This window comes from Homo sapiens, chromosome 5 (assembly GCF_000001405.40).
Source record: "Homo sapiens chromosome 5, GRCh38.p14 Primary Assembly".
Taxonomy (NCBI): Eukaryota; Metazoa; Chordata; class Mammalia; order Primates; family Hominidae; genus Homo; species Homo sapiens.
Genome location: NC_000005.10, coordinates 86,281,752 through 86,298,209, shown reverse-complemented (window position 1 = coordinate 86,298,209; position 16,458 = coordinate 86,281,752). Strand labels below are relative to the sequence as shown.

Sequence of the window (16,458 nt, the reverse complement as noted above, 5' to 3'; positions counted from 1 at the left end):
ATCCATGTATCAAGACATTGGGAAAAGTTTATGATTAAGTATGTAAAACTCAGCGAGATCTGATTCCCTCATGAGGACTCTGTTAAGGATAAATTCCACTCAACAAGTGATGCTTAGGACACACTTTTGAACAGCTCATGTGCATCAACATATTTAAATGTAGATCTCAACCAAAAACCAAGGTGTCACATAGGCTGTCACTTTATGTTTGGGTTAAAATAAAAAATAAGAAATGGTAGGTAATGAGGTTAGAGAAGAGGAAAATGATGTCTTTGATTGTCATAGTGGTAAAAATTTGACATTCAAAGAAATAATTTAAAATGTATAAACCAAACAGTAGAAATGTGTCAAGTTAAAAGGGGATTAGTGACGTTAAAACCTTTTCAGTGCAATGTTAAATGGGAGCTATACAACTCTTCCTAAATAACAAACAAAAAGCACACACACTTACACAAACACAAAAAGAAAACAAATAACATCAACAAAGAAATACAGGAAATACAATCTACCACATACGGTAAACATAGACTAGAACATGGAAGAGTTTTGAATATAAACAAGGAAATAAGAATGTTTTTATTAATCTAAATTCTTATCCACCAAAATCAATCATAATAATGAAAGCTTAAAACATTATATGTAAAAAATCCAATAGTCCAGAGTGAGAGGCAAGAAATGTTTTAATTAAACAGATTTAAAACTTAAAATTTTAACTGATGGACTAAAATTAATTTTGGATGAAAGTGATAATTGGGGCAGAGAATATTCTTTTTCACAACAGAATGCCAGCAAAAAGAAATTAAAATTAATTTTGGATGAAAGTTAAAATTTGGGCAGGGAATAATCTTTTTTACGAAGAATGCCAGCAAAAGCAAGTATAAGGTAATATTTTGAGATAGAAAATTTTCATTGTGCAAACATAAATATAATAACTGACACAGGCGGGGTGATTAATTGGTGATAAAATGTTCTGAAGAAGATCATTAGAATACAGGATATTTATACTATTTCACACCACTTTCCAAATTACTTACAAATAAGATGTCTTTACAAGGGACAGAGCTCCTAGACCCCTCCTTAACCAAGTGACCATCCTAGTATCACCGCATTGGGGATGGACACACTGGGCCTTCTCTGCCTGCAGATGGACTGAGGTAGGAAGCTACAGCATGGACGCTGCAGAGTTCCTGGCAAAATGTTTAGGCTGGATTTAATCATGACGACATTTTCAGATAACTTCAGAATGTAGACCATTGAGCCAGACAGCTGACCTGTCCTCTACAAACAAGTCCATGTCACCACCATCAATGACAACAACAAAAAGATGAGGAGATGTTTTGGGTTCAAAATGACTAAAAAAGCATAAGCTGCATAGGCTTTTTACTCTTTTTGAACTCAAAATGTCTCTTCTCCTTTTTGTTGTGTTCTTGGTGGTGACATGGACTGTTTGAAGGAGACAGGTCAGTTGTCCTGTTCAATGTTCTACATTCTGCAGTTATCTGAGGGTTACCTCCTATGAAACTCAGGCTAAGCGTTTTCAGCAAGAACATGGCATTGCTCATACTCTGCCCTGGCAGAGTCCCGGCTGACATGCTGTGTCCTGCCAGCAGCTGCGGACTCCTGTTCTCTACATGATGGGAATTGAGAAACAGGGCTAACGCCTGTCAATGCTATTTGTCCATCTGGGCATTGGTCTCCCTAGGTATTGATCACAATTGGAGGGGGATGGAATGTGGCTTCTCAAATCAAAGGAGCATAGTGGCTTGAAGTCATCAAGAGTATTCTGTGTCTGAAATTCAATCCTCAGTGAAGGACCCCTGCAGTATTGTGTTGGGACTTGAACTTGCTTTGCGTTTTAGTTGTTTTTATCAAGTGGAAAAGCTGCTTTTTGTGACATTCTTTCATCCTATCATCCTTTGCATCCTTCCAGCAGTATTTGGTATCTGTAGAGGAGAGAGAGAAAAAAATCAAATGAGCATTTTTGTCAGGTCCACCTGATGGCTGAGTCTGGAGGGATTGCTAAGCAGTGATATCTCACTGGGATCTCCTGCTGGGAGGTTGAGCTGAAGGGTGAGTCCTGGGCTGTCGGAAGGGGGAAGCACCATCCACAAGTGAGAAGAAAACACTCCTGAACTTCCAGTCAGCCTGGGGTGCAGGATATAAGGACCCCACCTATGCCCAACCAGCAGTGGGCAACATCATCCCCTTTCCTCCTGATCCCCTCTGTCTGGAGCAGAGTGATGGCTTTTCCTCCCAGTGAGCATGTACTCAGCATCAATCATGCATGCCAAGAAACAGAGGGGAGCAGAAGGACAGGAGCCTCTGCAGAGAAACCCACCCCCTTACAACTCCATGTCCTAGTCTTCTAGGGAGGAGTGGGAGGGCCATGGGAAGAACCCTGGATATGAGAAGCAGCAGAAACCTCAGACAACATCCACGTCCAGGTCCACATTTTACAACAGAGGAGTAGTGACGCCACAGGGGTAAGATTGAACTAAGGCCACATGACTTGCTATTGACAACCCAGGAATTAGAATCCACTCACTAAGGCCTTTCAATAAAGATTGGAGAAAGCAAGAGGAAAGGCTCCAATCTGGAGGTCTCAACAGTCATGAGTGGTGGTTGGGTCACCTTGGCTAGGACAGAAATAAGGTTTTACAGATAAATGTGATGTTGCTGCTGTTTCTTTGGTTGGTTAAAAACATAAAAAATATATATAATTATAAGTTTTTGTCCAAAGGTCATCAGGAAAGAAAGGGAGTTTAAAAAAAGAGACTCAAAATGGAGTTAGCAAAGTGAGGGAGAACAGGGACTGTAACCATGGCCCAACTTATTTTCCCTAATGCCCTGAAGTTGATTCCACATCCGGTTCCACCTTAAGGCATTTCTAGAAATATTCTCAATATCTAGACCAAGAAAACTCTGAAGTACAAAGTGGAAAGGATTAGTTTGTGTTTTACTACAGTCTCCCGTCCCACTTATTGTTTTCCCCAAGTACATTATGAGAAAGGTTTCTTTTTAATATTTTATGCCAGTGTGAAGAGAGGCATGAAGAAGTATTCATATACAATCTCTTGCAGCATTTCAGTCTTAATTTGTTATTGTATGCTCTTCAGGACAGGGGGACCAATGAGTTCTCTTTAGGGATTTTGCAGAAGGACAATAACTGACCAAAAGTAAAATTTTCACATTGCAGTGGTGAGACCATTGGTAGGCTATAAAATGGGTGTGGGGAAATGTAAACTGGAAGTTTTATTTTAAAATGCAAAAAGAAAATACTAAATTCCACTATATGTAATATGGCAGGTATTATTTCCATACATTAGGTGTTAATATCATGACTATTTCTTACTTATCTTGTATTCAAAATTCAGCAAGTGTGCTTCAAGCAGAGGCTAAAAGTCTAATCTATTAATTTTCTTGTTTTTCTTCTTGACTTTTTTCTATGCTATACGAAGAGTACTATTGAGAGGGGACTACAGATCCCATCAAAGTCTGATAGAGGCTCAGCCTTTTCTATGGAGTAGCCACACATATGTGGCACTTCCGTGTTGGTAACCTGAGGTCATAGTAGACCAGGGGTCCTTCTCATCTTTAGCCACATATTAGAATCACACGGGAGCATTTTGAAACTACAGATGCTCAGACCACACCCCAGGCCATGTAAGTGAGAATCTCTAAGTGTAAGTTGAAGGCATTCATCTTAATTGAAATCTCACCAGGTGCTTATTACATGGCAGCAGGATTTAGAGATACTAAATGGACCAGCCCAATTTCCCATCATTTTCTTTCCTTTCCCCATTTATCTCATGACTGGCTTTGTTCCCAGTGGTTCCATGGATTTTAGCCTTCTCTCTGACAATTTCAGTTAAATCTCTGTCTTATCAATTGGGCTGCACCAAAGCAAAGACTGTCCTGTAGACAGATTCTTGTCATCTAGTGTATGCATAAAGCTGGTCCTGGAGTCACTTTTCTCAAAGTTAATTCATAAAATGTTCTCTCATATACAATGGCCTCAAGATTCATCTGACTTGCATTTTAGACCCTTAACTGGACTTGAAAAGTGGAAATGAGAATAAAAAGGAGAGAGGTTAGAATGATGTACCTCATGATGTATGCAGTTTTCAAGTCCTGCCCTCTGCATGTACTTTTGGAGTGATGTCCCTTTAGAATGTCATAAATGTTCCCCAGTTAACATCAGCTCAAGTGAGTCCATGAGGTGAGAACACTGAGACCCTGGCAACTCCATCCACGTTGGCACTAGGCTGCACATCTGGGGCTAAAGACAAACCTGACTCCAGGCCAGTAGGGAACTCCCACCTGTGACCCTGGTTCTAGTTTAGTTTCCTAGGGGGGCTCTTAGTGCTTAGTTTTAACACTTCTCATTCAGAGGAACAAGTGATGATTAAGAGTTGAATTAGTTGTGTTGCTCAAAAGAAGACTCAAGAGGAAAATCTTTGTGTAAATGATGTATTAAAGCAATGATTTCTGCAAAAAGAGGCAATGGAGTTGGGGATGCAGCAAGGAAAGGTAAATTTCCCAAAGGAGTGTGTGATTCCGGGCAAACAACCCTGTGTTCAGCAGCTTAAACTATGCACTTGGATGGGGACAAGGAGGCCTGGCTCTCCTGTGGCCATGAGAGGGACTCTCAAGACAGTAGAAAAGGGAATAGAGCAGAGTTCAGAGAGTAAAGAGGAGATGGGTACAGAAAGGGCCAGTCAGGGTGGGAGCCCATGGGACACAGAGCTAAGACCAGACAGAGGTTAGAGCAGCTGTTGGAGAGAACAAATGGGAGAGAAAAAGCAGTGAGAGAATGAGCTGTCACCATAGACAGAGAAATAAGTGAGTGCAGCTATCAGCCATAGATGTGATTACCTCTGCACTCTAAGCATGCGGGCCAGCGAATCTGAATGCCAGTCTCCACTTGCTGAACGGGAGTCTTCTTTTGATGATCTTCAGTATCAGGACAAGGGAGGCATGAATCCGGCCAGTGACTTGACGCCCTTGTGTGTTGCTTGCTGAGCCTTCAAGTGCATCATCTTCCAGCTGGGGAGGGTTCTTCATCCCCAGAGAGGGCTCTAAAACCAGCTCTGAAAAGAAAACCACAGCCAATGGGATCCGCTGCCATCCATGATCTTACCGTAACTTTCTCTTCCACCCAGAGGACATCAAATCAGGAAAGTGGCCTTGGACAAGAAAGTCCAAAGGGCGAGGGGAAGCCGATAGAGTCACTTTAATACTTTCTTTTTTGTTGATCTTTCCTACATTACTCAGTAACGACAAGATTGCCAGGAGCCAAAGGCACTGCCAATTCACAAAAATTTTCAAGAAACATAGGATTCAGAAACACAAATAGCTTCCAGGTAGATAAGGCAAAGGTAAGGAAATAACACTGTATGTAGGCTATGCTTTGGGGAGAGAAGAGATTACAAAATCAAAGTTAAATCAGAACTGGGTTCAAACAGGAGATGGGAATGGAAGGGCCTGGCAGGGTGGCAGCCCATGTGGCACAGAGGTGAGACCAGACATAGGTGACAGCAACTGATGAGAGAAAAGAACCAGGAAGACTAAACCTAGAGAATTTACAAAAGTTGCATCATTATATGATCTACTGCATATATATATATACACCCTATATAGCATACACACCAGATATACATAGTCACACATAATAGGACAAATTATACATATATATATACATATACAGATATATATATGTGCATATATCTGTACACATTAATTTAAAGAAAAAAAATATAGGGATTTGGGAGGGATTGAATGTAACAGTAGAGTCACTATTCTGGTCCATCGAAATTGGAAAAATAATTGGAGACATGAGAAGAATGAGAAAGAATAAGTATGGGAGAAACAAATGACCTGGTAGACAGCAGGGAGAAATCACCAGGTGAAGGAAAGTGTTAATGAAACGAAAGGCGTTCACTCTGTCCTCTTACCTGGAGCCTGGTTCAGGCTCTGGACTCCAGGGAAAGTGAGCAAGAGGGAGTGTGTCTGAGCCAGTGGGGTGAGTCTTGGCTGGGGGTGTGAGAATCCACAGAGAAGCAAAAGAGAGTTCAGTGCTAAGAAATCAGTCTAAATAAGTTATCATGGCACATGTCAGGGACTGCGCATCCCCCGACACTCCCTGAGCACCTTCCATATGTCCTCTCCACTGGCCCAGATGGTGCTCATTATCTCACGCAACCCTCCCTCCCCCTGAGGACAGGGGTTCCCTCATTCCTCAGCTGAGGGCATCGCCTGACAGATGAGCACCAGGCAGCCCCAGGGGCTCCAGGAGGAGATACTGAGTGGGATGGAGAGTGAGAATGAACACGACCCAGGATTTTAAGATAATCTGAGCAGAAATGGATGCCTGTGAGACGGAAACTGAGGACATGGCCACGGACATGAGTGGAGAATGTGAACTAAATGGAATTTCATAAAAGAGACTGATGTGAACACTTTCCATGTGAAAGTTGCCCTTTTATTTCAAAAAAAGCAGTAAAAACAGCAGAAGAAGCTGGACATGTCAGGAGACTGAGTGTGGGCCCAGGATTTACACTGTTACTCAATGTGCCTCATAGGTTGTTATTGAAAGTGCCTGACAGGGGAAAATTGGCTTCATGAGGGATGGGGAAGGAGAGGAAGAAAACTGGCAGAAGAGTCTGTGTGAGAAAGGAAAGGAAGAGGGGCCCTAGAAAGCAGAGATCTTCATAACTGCTCTACCTCAGAGGAGACATCGTCCGTGAAGTCACTTGCTAAGTGTAAATTTAGCAGAAAGATAAAAGGATTAGATAACACCTACTCATAGGTTTATTGGGCAATTCTTATGGAATCAGACCCTTTGGAAATTATGATTGCAGGTAGATATTATTCTTCAGGTATCTTAGATGAGGGAACAGAGATATAAATAGCAAAAAGACAAAAACCTTGGCCAAAGTCAACAAGCAGAAAGTGGCAAACCCAGGTCCTGAGAGCAGATTTGGTCCTAAGCTCCAAGGCCTTTGCTCACCTCACTGGGTTGGAGCACCATGGATTTCAACTTGACCCTGAGGAAGCATGGGACGCCCCATTCTCTCCTCCATCCACAGCACCGTCGTGACCACCAACACCTGGATTAGAGCTTCATGACGCCGTTTCCTTCCCTACCTTGGAAGGGCCATTGGTTCCCAGAATCAGCATTGGCTGAGAAGCTGCAGGTCATGGAGGAAAGGCCCCGCTGGGGCAAGCCGTTCCCACAGTGGAACCCTTGATCCAGCTGTAGTCGCAGACAATTGGGCACCAGGGTGCTTGGTTCCAGCTGTGCCTGTGAAATTTGAACCTCTGACCGGTGGTGGCTCAAGTCTCCACTCCAAGTCCCTTGGGGACAGGCCGCCTCGGTGGGGGCTGAAAGGAGAAGGGGCTTCAGTAGGAACAATCTCAGTTTTCCCTTTGTTAAGTAATCCCGGAACACCCATCCCTGATGTCCCTGCTCTCAGTAAAGCCACCCAGTGACCCACACCACACAGACAGACATCATGTAAATGCAGGCAACATCACCTCTCCTGCCTGTGCCTGGGGACGCTGACACGGTAGGGGCCCAGGCTGGGGTGTCCCTGAGGTGAAAAACCTCTGCTTCAGCCCAGAGGGCTTTGGATTGTCTAACAAGACCATCCCGATTATTCTGTTATTATTCATCTCTTTCCTGTGCCCAGAGGGAAAGTTCTAGAGAGGCCTCAGAGCACAGGAGAGGAGTGGTTATTTTTCTCCACACACAGGGGTGTAAGAACGGGTCAAGAGTTAGAGCTGCGAGGCTTTGAGAAAGAACCACGAAAAAGGGGGCTGGGATGCTACAGACCAAACACTAAGTGAGGCAAACTTTTCTGGGTTCGGGGACATTTTGAATTTCCCATTGACTATAATGGTTTGACCCCCTACCCACACATATCCATCCTCTTGCCATATAGTGGGTGTCAGCAGACATAGGCAATGTAGGAGAGGGACCAGTCCCTTCCTGCAAATTCAGGGGCCACAAGTGCTACAGATCAGCACGTGCGGTTCCTTAGGAAGGCAACACAGGACATGATCCTCACATTACGCACTCCTCCAGTGGGGTTCGGGTGGCACCCCTTAAACAAATTATTTCCATTTCCACAGGGAGAGGAATACACATTCTGAGTGGACTAAGAAAAGACTTCCAATGACCTCACGCCAGTCCAGGTCGGGCTCAGGGTGGGGACGGGGCCTGCAGACCGGATCCACGTTGCTGTGGGGCTCCTCTCTCTCCTCCCCTCTCCACATCTTCATTCTCTCCAAGGTTTTCTAAGTTTTCTTAAAAATGCCTCATTGTTCTCAGCTCCAACATGGAGATGCCACTGCCCACTTGGGAGTGTCCCTTGATCCCTGAATGGTTTATAGCAGGACAGAGCTTGCTTGCAAAGGGGCAGGGCCTACAGCAGGTGCAAGGTCAGTGTGTATTTTAATTGTTTCATGAATCACTGTGATGCTAGAAAGGCATTTGCTTTTTTGAAACTCAGGGAGAAATGCAAAATGGGAAAGGGGCTGGTCCCAGTATGAAAGGCACTTACTGACCAAAATAGAATAGAGGCCAACATTTTTGTTGCTAGTTTCTTTCTTTATGTGTGTGTGACACAGGGTCTCACTTTGTTGCTCAGGCTGGAGTGCAGTGGTGCAATCGTGGCTCACTGCAGCCTTAACTAACCAGGCTCAGGTGATCCTTCCACCTCAGCCTCCCAAAAAGCTGGGACTACAGGTGTGTACCCCCATACTCTGCTAATTTTTTTTTTACAGATACGGTTTCACCATGTTACCCACACTGGTCTCAAACTCCTGAGCTCATGCAATCCACCTCCTTAGCCTCCCAAAGTGCTGGAATTACAGGCATGAGTCAACACACCTGGCATTTTTGCTAATCTCATTACAACATAATCCAATATACTGGGGGACCTCACAGAGTTACTTGCTCTTACTAGAAGATAATATAATGGGTAAAACCCCCAACAATCCACATGAAATTCCCAGAATTGAAGTAAAAAAAAAAGAGAATGAGCAAGAAGAAATGAAAATTGGATTTTCTTTTTACACATCCTGTGAAGCTTCTATCTCAAGGGGCGATTGTTCAGAAGAAGGGTTTTCTGGACATCATGGGGACAGGAACCACTCTGCTTTGCTCATTGGTTAGGCCAGAGCCTCATGAGGGACACTAGTTGTCGATGGTTTTCATGAGAATAGAGCACTGAGACCAAAACTTGATTGACACTACAAACCCACACATGGAGAAAACCACTGGAGCTCTGCAGAGGATGCAAGCCTGGCCACACATAAAGGAAGGGTCGCTGGACTGCGTCAGTGGAGGGAAGACACCCCAGAGGAAGTAGAGCCACAGTCCCAAACCTTTTTGGCACCAGGGACTGGTTTCATGGAAGACCATTTTTCAGACACCAGGTTGGTGGGGATGGTTTTGGGATGATTCAAGCACATTACATTTACTGTGCACTTCATTTCTATAAATATTATATTGGAATATATAATGAAATAATTATACAACTCACCATAATGTAGAATCAGTGGGAGCCCTAAGATTGTTTTCCTGCAACTAGATGGTCTCACCTGGGGGTGACAGTTACTGGGAGACAGTGACAGATCATCAGGCATTAGATTCTCGTAAGGAAAACACAATCTAGATTGCTGGCATGGACAATTCACAATAGAGTTCGAGCTCCTGTGAGAATCTAATGCCACTGCTGATCTGACAGGAGGTGGAATCCAGGCTGAAATGCTCTCCCACCGCTCACCTCCTGCTCTGCGGCCCAGTTCCTAACAGGTCATGGACCCATAATGGCCCATGGCCCCAGGGCTGGGGATCCCTGAAGAAGAAAATCTAGCTTGGGACACAGGAATCATGAAACAGGCCTCCAAATAATTGCTCAAAACTCCCAACATATGTGGATGGCCAGAGAAAAAATAAAGACATGGAATTAGCAAGATAATTTCAGAAAAGAGAGATGCCCTATCTTAAAGAAGGAGGTCTGTTACATAAATTTCTCCAGCTGAGCTACTGTGGCCAAGAATTTGCCATAAGCCCTCACCACTCCCTTCTCTGGCCTGTTTTGATAGCCAAAGCCTGCTCCTGTGAGAAGGAGCCAGGTGACAGAGGAGGCACTTGGAACAGGAGAAGAGGAAGTTCTACCCAGTGGATGTCTGTGCTTAAAACTGGATCCAAGAGCCAGATTCAAAACAAGCTCAGTGTATAGAGCCTGCTGCAGAGATGGTCTGTCTCAGCTGCACAAGTTGCAGGAAACAAAACATACAGAGGCTGCCTGGGAGGACAGTGGAGCTTTGTGACCTCCAGGGTGAAGTACTCACAGGCTACATCCAGAGCAGAGCAGGCAAGCTGATCCTCCAATGAGGACAAGGTGCTGCTATAAGGCTGGTGGCAGTCAGACACATCATGGTGAACTGAGGGAGTCAAGTAAACTTCATTCACGGAGTCCTCTGGGACTTCCTGCTCCTTCACCTCTGGCAGCTCCTGGCTGAGCCTGGGGTAAAGAAGACAGAAGATAAACACCAGAGAGAACCAACACCCAGCTGGTTCTATAGGGAGGCCCTTAGGAAGGCCCAGAGGAAGCAAAGTACATTCCCCTGAGAGAGATACAACCATCCTTCCCTGTCTCGAGTAGGAGACAGAGCATGACAGGCTCTCAGTGCACTGGGCAGGCAATGAGCTGGGGAGGAAGCAGAGGGAGTGATCCCTGTGGGGAACTGCCAGGACACAGTGCATTTGGCACTTTTGCATACATTTTGTTGAAATTAGCATCAGTGGCCAAATGAATACAGGCTCTTGAGTCTTCACAGAGTTCCTGTATCCTCAACAGCTCTTGTTCTCAACATTGTAGCATGGCATGATTTATTTTCATTCACTTCCCTGCTATCGAATACTTGCAAACATGGTAATGCCAAAGAGGCAGACATCAGATGTGCAACTCAACTTCACTTTAAGCAAAAAGGACAGAAAAGGGGACTGCAGAAAATGTCTGTGAGTGATCAGTTCAACAGAGTCAACTGAATGCAGATTAGACGAAAGGAATTAATAAGGAGGAACTAGAAATACAGGTGTACAATGAAAAGAGTCAACCTTATGAATATGGCATTTCATGGTTGGCTGAACAGATGGAACAGGTATATTCAGCACACTCTGATTTTCCCTGCATCTGAGACTCCAGATATCAACACTGAATTAACTGTCCATGATTCCTCAGAGTTACCTGGGGCATGGTGGGCTTTGGTCTTCTACCTCCTCTTGATCCTTTTTAATTTCTATAAATAAATTCACAAAGGGACAGACAGATTAAGCAGGTTCTCCTACACACATAAACAATCCACTGTGCAACCCTAACATAGAAATGTCAGTTTCCTCAGTGGGAGAACAGGACACTGTGAGAGAAATATTCCAGGAGGCCTGAGGTCCTGTCATGACAGAGATGCCTTGGTTTTCTTCCCTGAGCCTAGGAATGCAATCTCCCTGTTCTGGTAGATCATTATCCCAACATCATCTGTCCTGATTTTGTGCAAACAGTTATGCAAATTTTTCACACCAGTTGAAGGCAAATACCCCAGCTGCTTTCTAGAAGGAAAACTGCAATATTCAGCTTTCAATCATCAAATACTCACGTTGCTCGTGGTTACAAGGATTTTAGACACTGAAACTAGAATGTAGGAGGGAATCTACAGACCCTTGAATGAAAATGAATCTTTGGTGATACAAAGAGGCATTGGCTATTCGTGACATCTAGGAGTGACAAGGCCCAATCTTGTTTCTAGAAACATAACAAAAGGTAATGGACTACTCAGCTAAAACAGGGTAACATCAAAGACATAGAGAATGAGGCTGGGTTCTTTGAAACCTGGGTAATATCTTCAATGAAAAGTAGACAAAAATGCCACAGGCATTGGGCAGGCATAGAATCTCATAGGACATGGTTGGGGAAAGGAACTTGTAAGGAACACAATAGCTGGCAAGACAAATCTTATTCAGATTAAGAGGCCTGACAGACACCTGTTGGGCACGTGCTGCATAGGTTGGTGTGAATTTGTCAATGTCGTGACAGTGGGCGCACGGTGACACAGGCATGGTCTGAGATGAGGAAGAGAGCAAAGCTCACTGACCCACCCCTGTCTGTGCTTCCAACTTGATTTTTGATGCTGATGCAAATCATCCTGTGTCTGTGAGTCATGACCACACCAATGACACATCTCAGTCCAGCCAGGGATGTGAAGTGCAAGGATTATGGAGTCTACCTGGGACACCAATTGGAGATTTATCATGTTCACAATGGAGTACTCACTGTCTACAAGAGCCAAGCTGACTTGCTTGTCTTCAAAAGAGTACAAAGTGCTCCAATAAGGGTGGTAGGAGGGAGTCAGGTCAGGAAGGATGGAAGGAGTCAAGCAACATCCATCCAGTGACTCCTGGGGGATTTCATACTTGTCTACTCTCAGTGGTCCCCTGCTGAGCCTGTAGGGTAAGAAGGACTAAAGATTAATCCAAGGAGTTTCAGAGCCCTAGCTGGATTTCACGTGAGGCATGAGGGAGTGATCGCAGAAAACAAATGGGTCAACCCATTAAAGAGTTAAATATTCTCCTCTTCTTGGTGGGCACAGTGTGGTTGCCATGGGTAGGTTGCAATACAGAGAGAGGGAAAGAGAGAGATGAGAGAGAGAGAAGCATCAGGTGTTCAGCAAAGTAGCCAGATTATGATTTTCTGAGGAAGGAGACTGAGTCTCTCTGTATGGTAGAGTCGTGACTTACTGAATATCATGTCCCATAGCAGTGGTTTCATTCCTTTCTTTTAAATGATGTTAAATTTTATGTGTAGTGGCCAAGTAAACATAGGTTTTGAGGCATAATCATATCCCCAAAATCGCATGTCATCAAATCCTCTTAATATTGTGCATGGTATAACAATAATTTTTTCTACCTAATTTCCTTGCCTTGAAATGCTCACCACTGTGCTAATGCAAAACCAGCAGAAAGCAGATATGCATCTCAGGCTGGTTGACACCATAAGAAGAAGATACTTACTTTAAGGAAATCTGTGTGACTGATTAGTTGTTCACAAGGTCAAGTGGTTTTATGTACTGAACTTGAGAAGTTAATAAGAAATGGCAAACATTAAAAGTTTCACAATGAAAATGTAAAACATGGTTAAAAAGGATCATTTCCGGTTGGCTGAAGGGATGAATCAGGTATATTCAGGACTTTCTGGTTTTCTGTGGAGATGAGTTTCACAGATATCACCCCTGAATAGACAGCCCCTGATTTTTCTCAGTTACCTGGGAGCAACTGTTTCTTGTCCTTTCACCTCTTCAAGATCATTTTGCTTTTCTGTAAATAAATTAAGAGAAGACCAGCCAGATGAACTTGATCACATTCACATATGCACAACCTTGTGTCCAAATCTACATAGGGGCATAGATATACGCAGTGCGATAACAGGCTATTGTGAGAGAAACTTTCCAGGAGGTCTCAGGGTGAGCCTTGTGAGAAGTCACTAGGTTTGCTTTCCTGAGTCATGGAGCAAATCTCCCTGATCTGACAGGTCATCATCACAGTCCCTTCTGTCTTGAGTCACAGCAAACTGTTAACCATATCCTGTTTACTAACAGATCCTGGGGATCTACTTTAATGCTTCCTAGCAGGTTACTGCAGTATTCAGCATGTTTCCTTCTGATAAGCTGTTGTCAGTGTTTTTGTAGAATTTGCATTTAGAGGGACAGATTAAATCAAAAGAATCTCTAATGCTACATGGAAACATTGGCAGAGTCTATGATGTCTTTGTACTCTTTGTACTCTTCACACTCTGAGAAAAGACAGACACGCCTGCCTCAGTGGAAGGTGGGACATGCTGCTGGGGTCACTGCCTATAGGGCAGGCGGCACCATCCATCCCAAGGACGAAAGCAGCTCCAGTACCAGGCTCCAGGCAGGCATTTCCACATCTTTATTTATCAACCTCCCAACTTTCTGGCATCTGATACTCCCCAACTCAGGGATAGGGAGAAAGAAACGCAAGGGCACATCAAGTAACTTGACAAGATGATTCACCTGGAAGAAGGTGGAGTCAGAATTCACAGCACCTGAGGTCTGACTCTGAATCCTGGGCCACTTTCCCAAGCCTTGCAGCCTCTCCTGTAAAACACTGGACTGGTGCATGAAGTAGTGATTTTCTATACAGTCAGGAAGGCCCTAGGACTATGGGACCCAAAGTTTCCCTTGTACTGGGAATTTCAAGTGCAAATATGTCAAACATTTAAAAAATCATATCTGGATATGATTGCATAAAATATGAGGCACAAGACCGTGAGGCTGTAATAGAAATATGCCCAAATACTAATAAAGTTTGAATTAAGTTAGAAATAGTAGAATGAAGAGCTAATAGATAGTGTTTACTCTGTTCCAAGAACTGTTCTAGGAAATTTACAAGAAATAGGTCATGTAATTCATTGCAGTAATTTACAGAGGTAGGTATTATTATAGTACTCAATGAGCAGATGAGGAAACTGAGGCACAGAGAAGATAGGCAACTTGGATGGAGCCCAGGAGACTGGCCCAGGGTCCTTGCTCTGCACACTACACTGCTACCTCCACAATGTCTTATGTGCCATCTTTCTTCCTCTTCAGGAATAAGAGCCTGTGCCCCAGGAAGCAGCACTTCCCTCTCACCGGGACACTCCCTGCTTTGAAGGGTGTCACAGATATCACAGTTTCTGTTAGGAGCAGTCTCCTCTTTAAGCTCCTTAGAGTGGGTACTCTGTACAGTTGCCATTTTTCCCCCAGGGTCCCCTGGATGGAGCTTTGCCTATTGGGCCTCAAAGAAGCTTGAACTGAATGGAAGTTCATTAGTCCCAGACATTTAGACCAACAGACTAGATGTTACTTGTCTGTAGAATCTTACATGGTACAGAGAGGATTCTCATAAACATGATTTAGCCTCTTACTAAGGAAAACAGGTGGTTCTGTGCCTGTGTCAGAAGACAATAAGTAGGATTTTAACTCTAGTCCCACCTCACACCAGACTGCCAATGTGGAAAAGTTGCTAAATACTTTGTGCCTCTGTTTTCCATGTTTAACAAAATGAGGTTAAAACATCCACTTCTATTTTCCTAGAAGTATGGGAAGGATGAAATTAATTTCGATGAAAAGACCGTTCAGTTTCTCAGAACACAGGTGATCATTCATCACATTCATCATTGTGAATCTATAGAACTTACTGTATTTCTTCAGCTGGTTGGCCAGGGAGTAGGCAGTAGCTTGAGATATAAGGAATTTCTCTTTGAGGTCTCGGAACTGCTGATTGCTCTCTGCCAGCTGGGAGCGCAATTCCTGGTTGATTTCTAGGATGTTCATCTCTGCCCTCTCGCTGGACAAAGGGTCGGCAGATACCACCATGCTGACGTTTGTGGCAGAAGAGGTAGAGCCAGGGACTGGGGAGAAGAAACCCAAACACATGATGGGTCAAAAACTAGTGAAATCAATTAGGTTTAATCAGGACTGAGAGATGACAATTACTGGAATTGTTAACTTATGGTTGAGAAAAACTTGATGAACACGTCACAACACTTTAGAGTCCTTAACTGCAAAAACAGGGACCGGTATGCCTGAGCTCAGAGCTGAAGGCACTGACTGTAGCTCCGACTCTGACAAGAGTGAGCGAGGTAGCAGCCAGCATGCCAGGTAACGGTCTGCAGTTGCAATAACAGAATTAGAAGGTGGGGGTGTCATGGAATCTTAGGATCCTTGCATTCCAATTGCCCAGGCTGTGCTGAAACACTAGGCCCCCTGGTCTCACCTGAGGGTCACTGATGGGGACCATTTCTTCAGCAGTCACTCTCAGTATTTGTGCACCCTTGTGACAATGCTACAGGCCCACCTCTTTCTCAATACATATAAGCATATTCCTCATTGTTCATCTCTTGTGTGTATAAAATCATCAAGGTAGGGATAGTTTTCCAGAAGGTTATATTTTCTTAGTGGTAGTCATGAAGTCACCTCACCTTCTTTTTAAGGTAAAATGATCTTAATGCTTTTCCACAAGTGAAAGATAGAAAACTTTTAGTCTGCTATGATATCCCTCTGGGTCTTCTGCAGTTTTTTCTGTATCGACTGAAAATGAAGGAATAATTCACTTTTAAAAAATATTTTCTACCCTGTCTCAGTATTCTTGCTGCATCCCATTGTTATGTTGATTTCTTTTCTCTTACTGGGGCAGCATCTTGGCTTTTCATTACACTTAAGACCAGTTTCACATCCCTACGTCCAAAGCTCTTCCTCTATGTGTGGGTTGGTTTGCTTTTTTAATGTCACTGAACACTCATTTCATACTTGTCACTTACGAATATCATTCTGGTCCCAAAATAGCTCTTTTCAAGGTATCAAGTGATCAAAATCATTTGTATATATCCC

General features: G+C 43.7%; 1 pseudogene across 1 annotated transcript; it reads right to left on the bottom strand.

The window, feature by feature from the left end:
- Positions 1-662: 662 nt before the first annotated feature.
- Positions 663-15,766, bottom strand: NBPF22P (NBPF member 22, pseudogene; annotated as a pseudogene). Its single transcript, NR_003719.2, has 8 exons — positions 15,267-15,766; positions 13,330-13,381; positions 12,342-12,511; positions 11,262-11,313; positions 10,363-10,535; positions 7,147-7,383; positions 4,876-5,090; positions 663-1,943 (listed from the first exon to the last, which is right to left on the bottom strand). The product of NR_003719.2 is annotated as an NBPF member 22, pseudogene (transcript).
- Between the last annotated feature and the right edge of the window lie 692 nt (positions 15,767-16,458).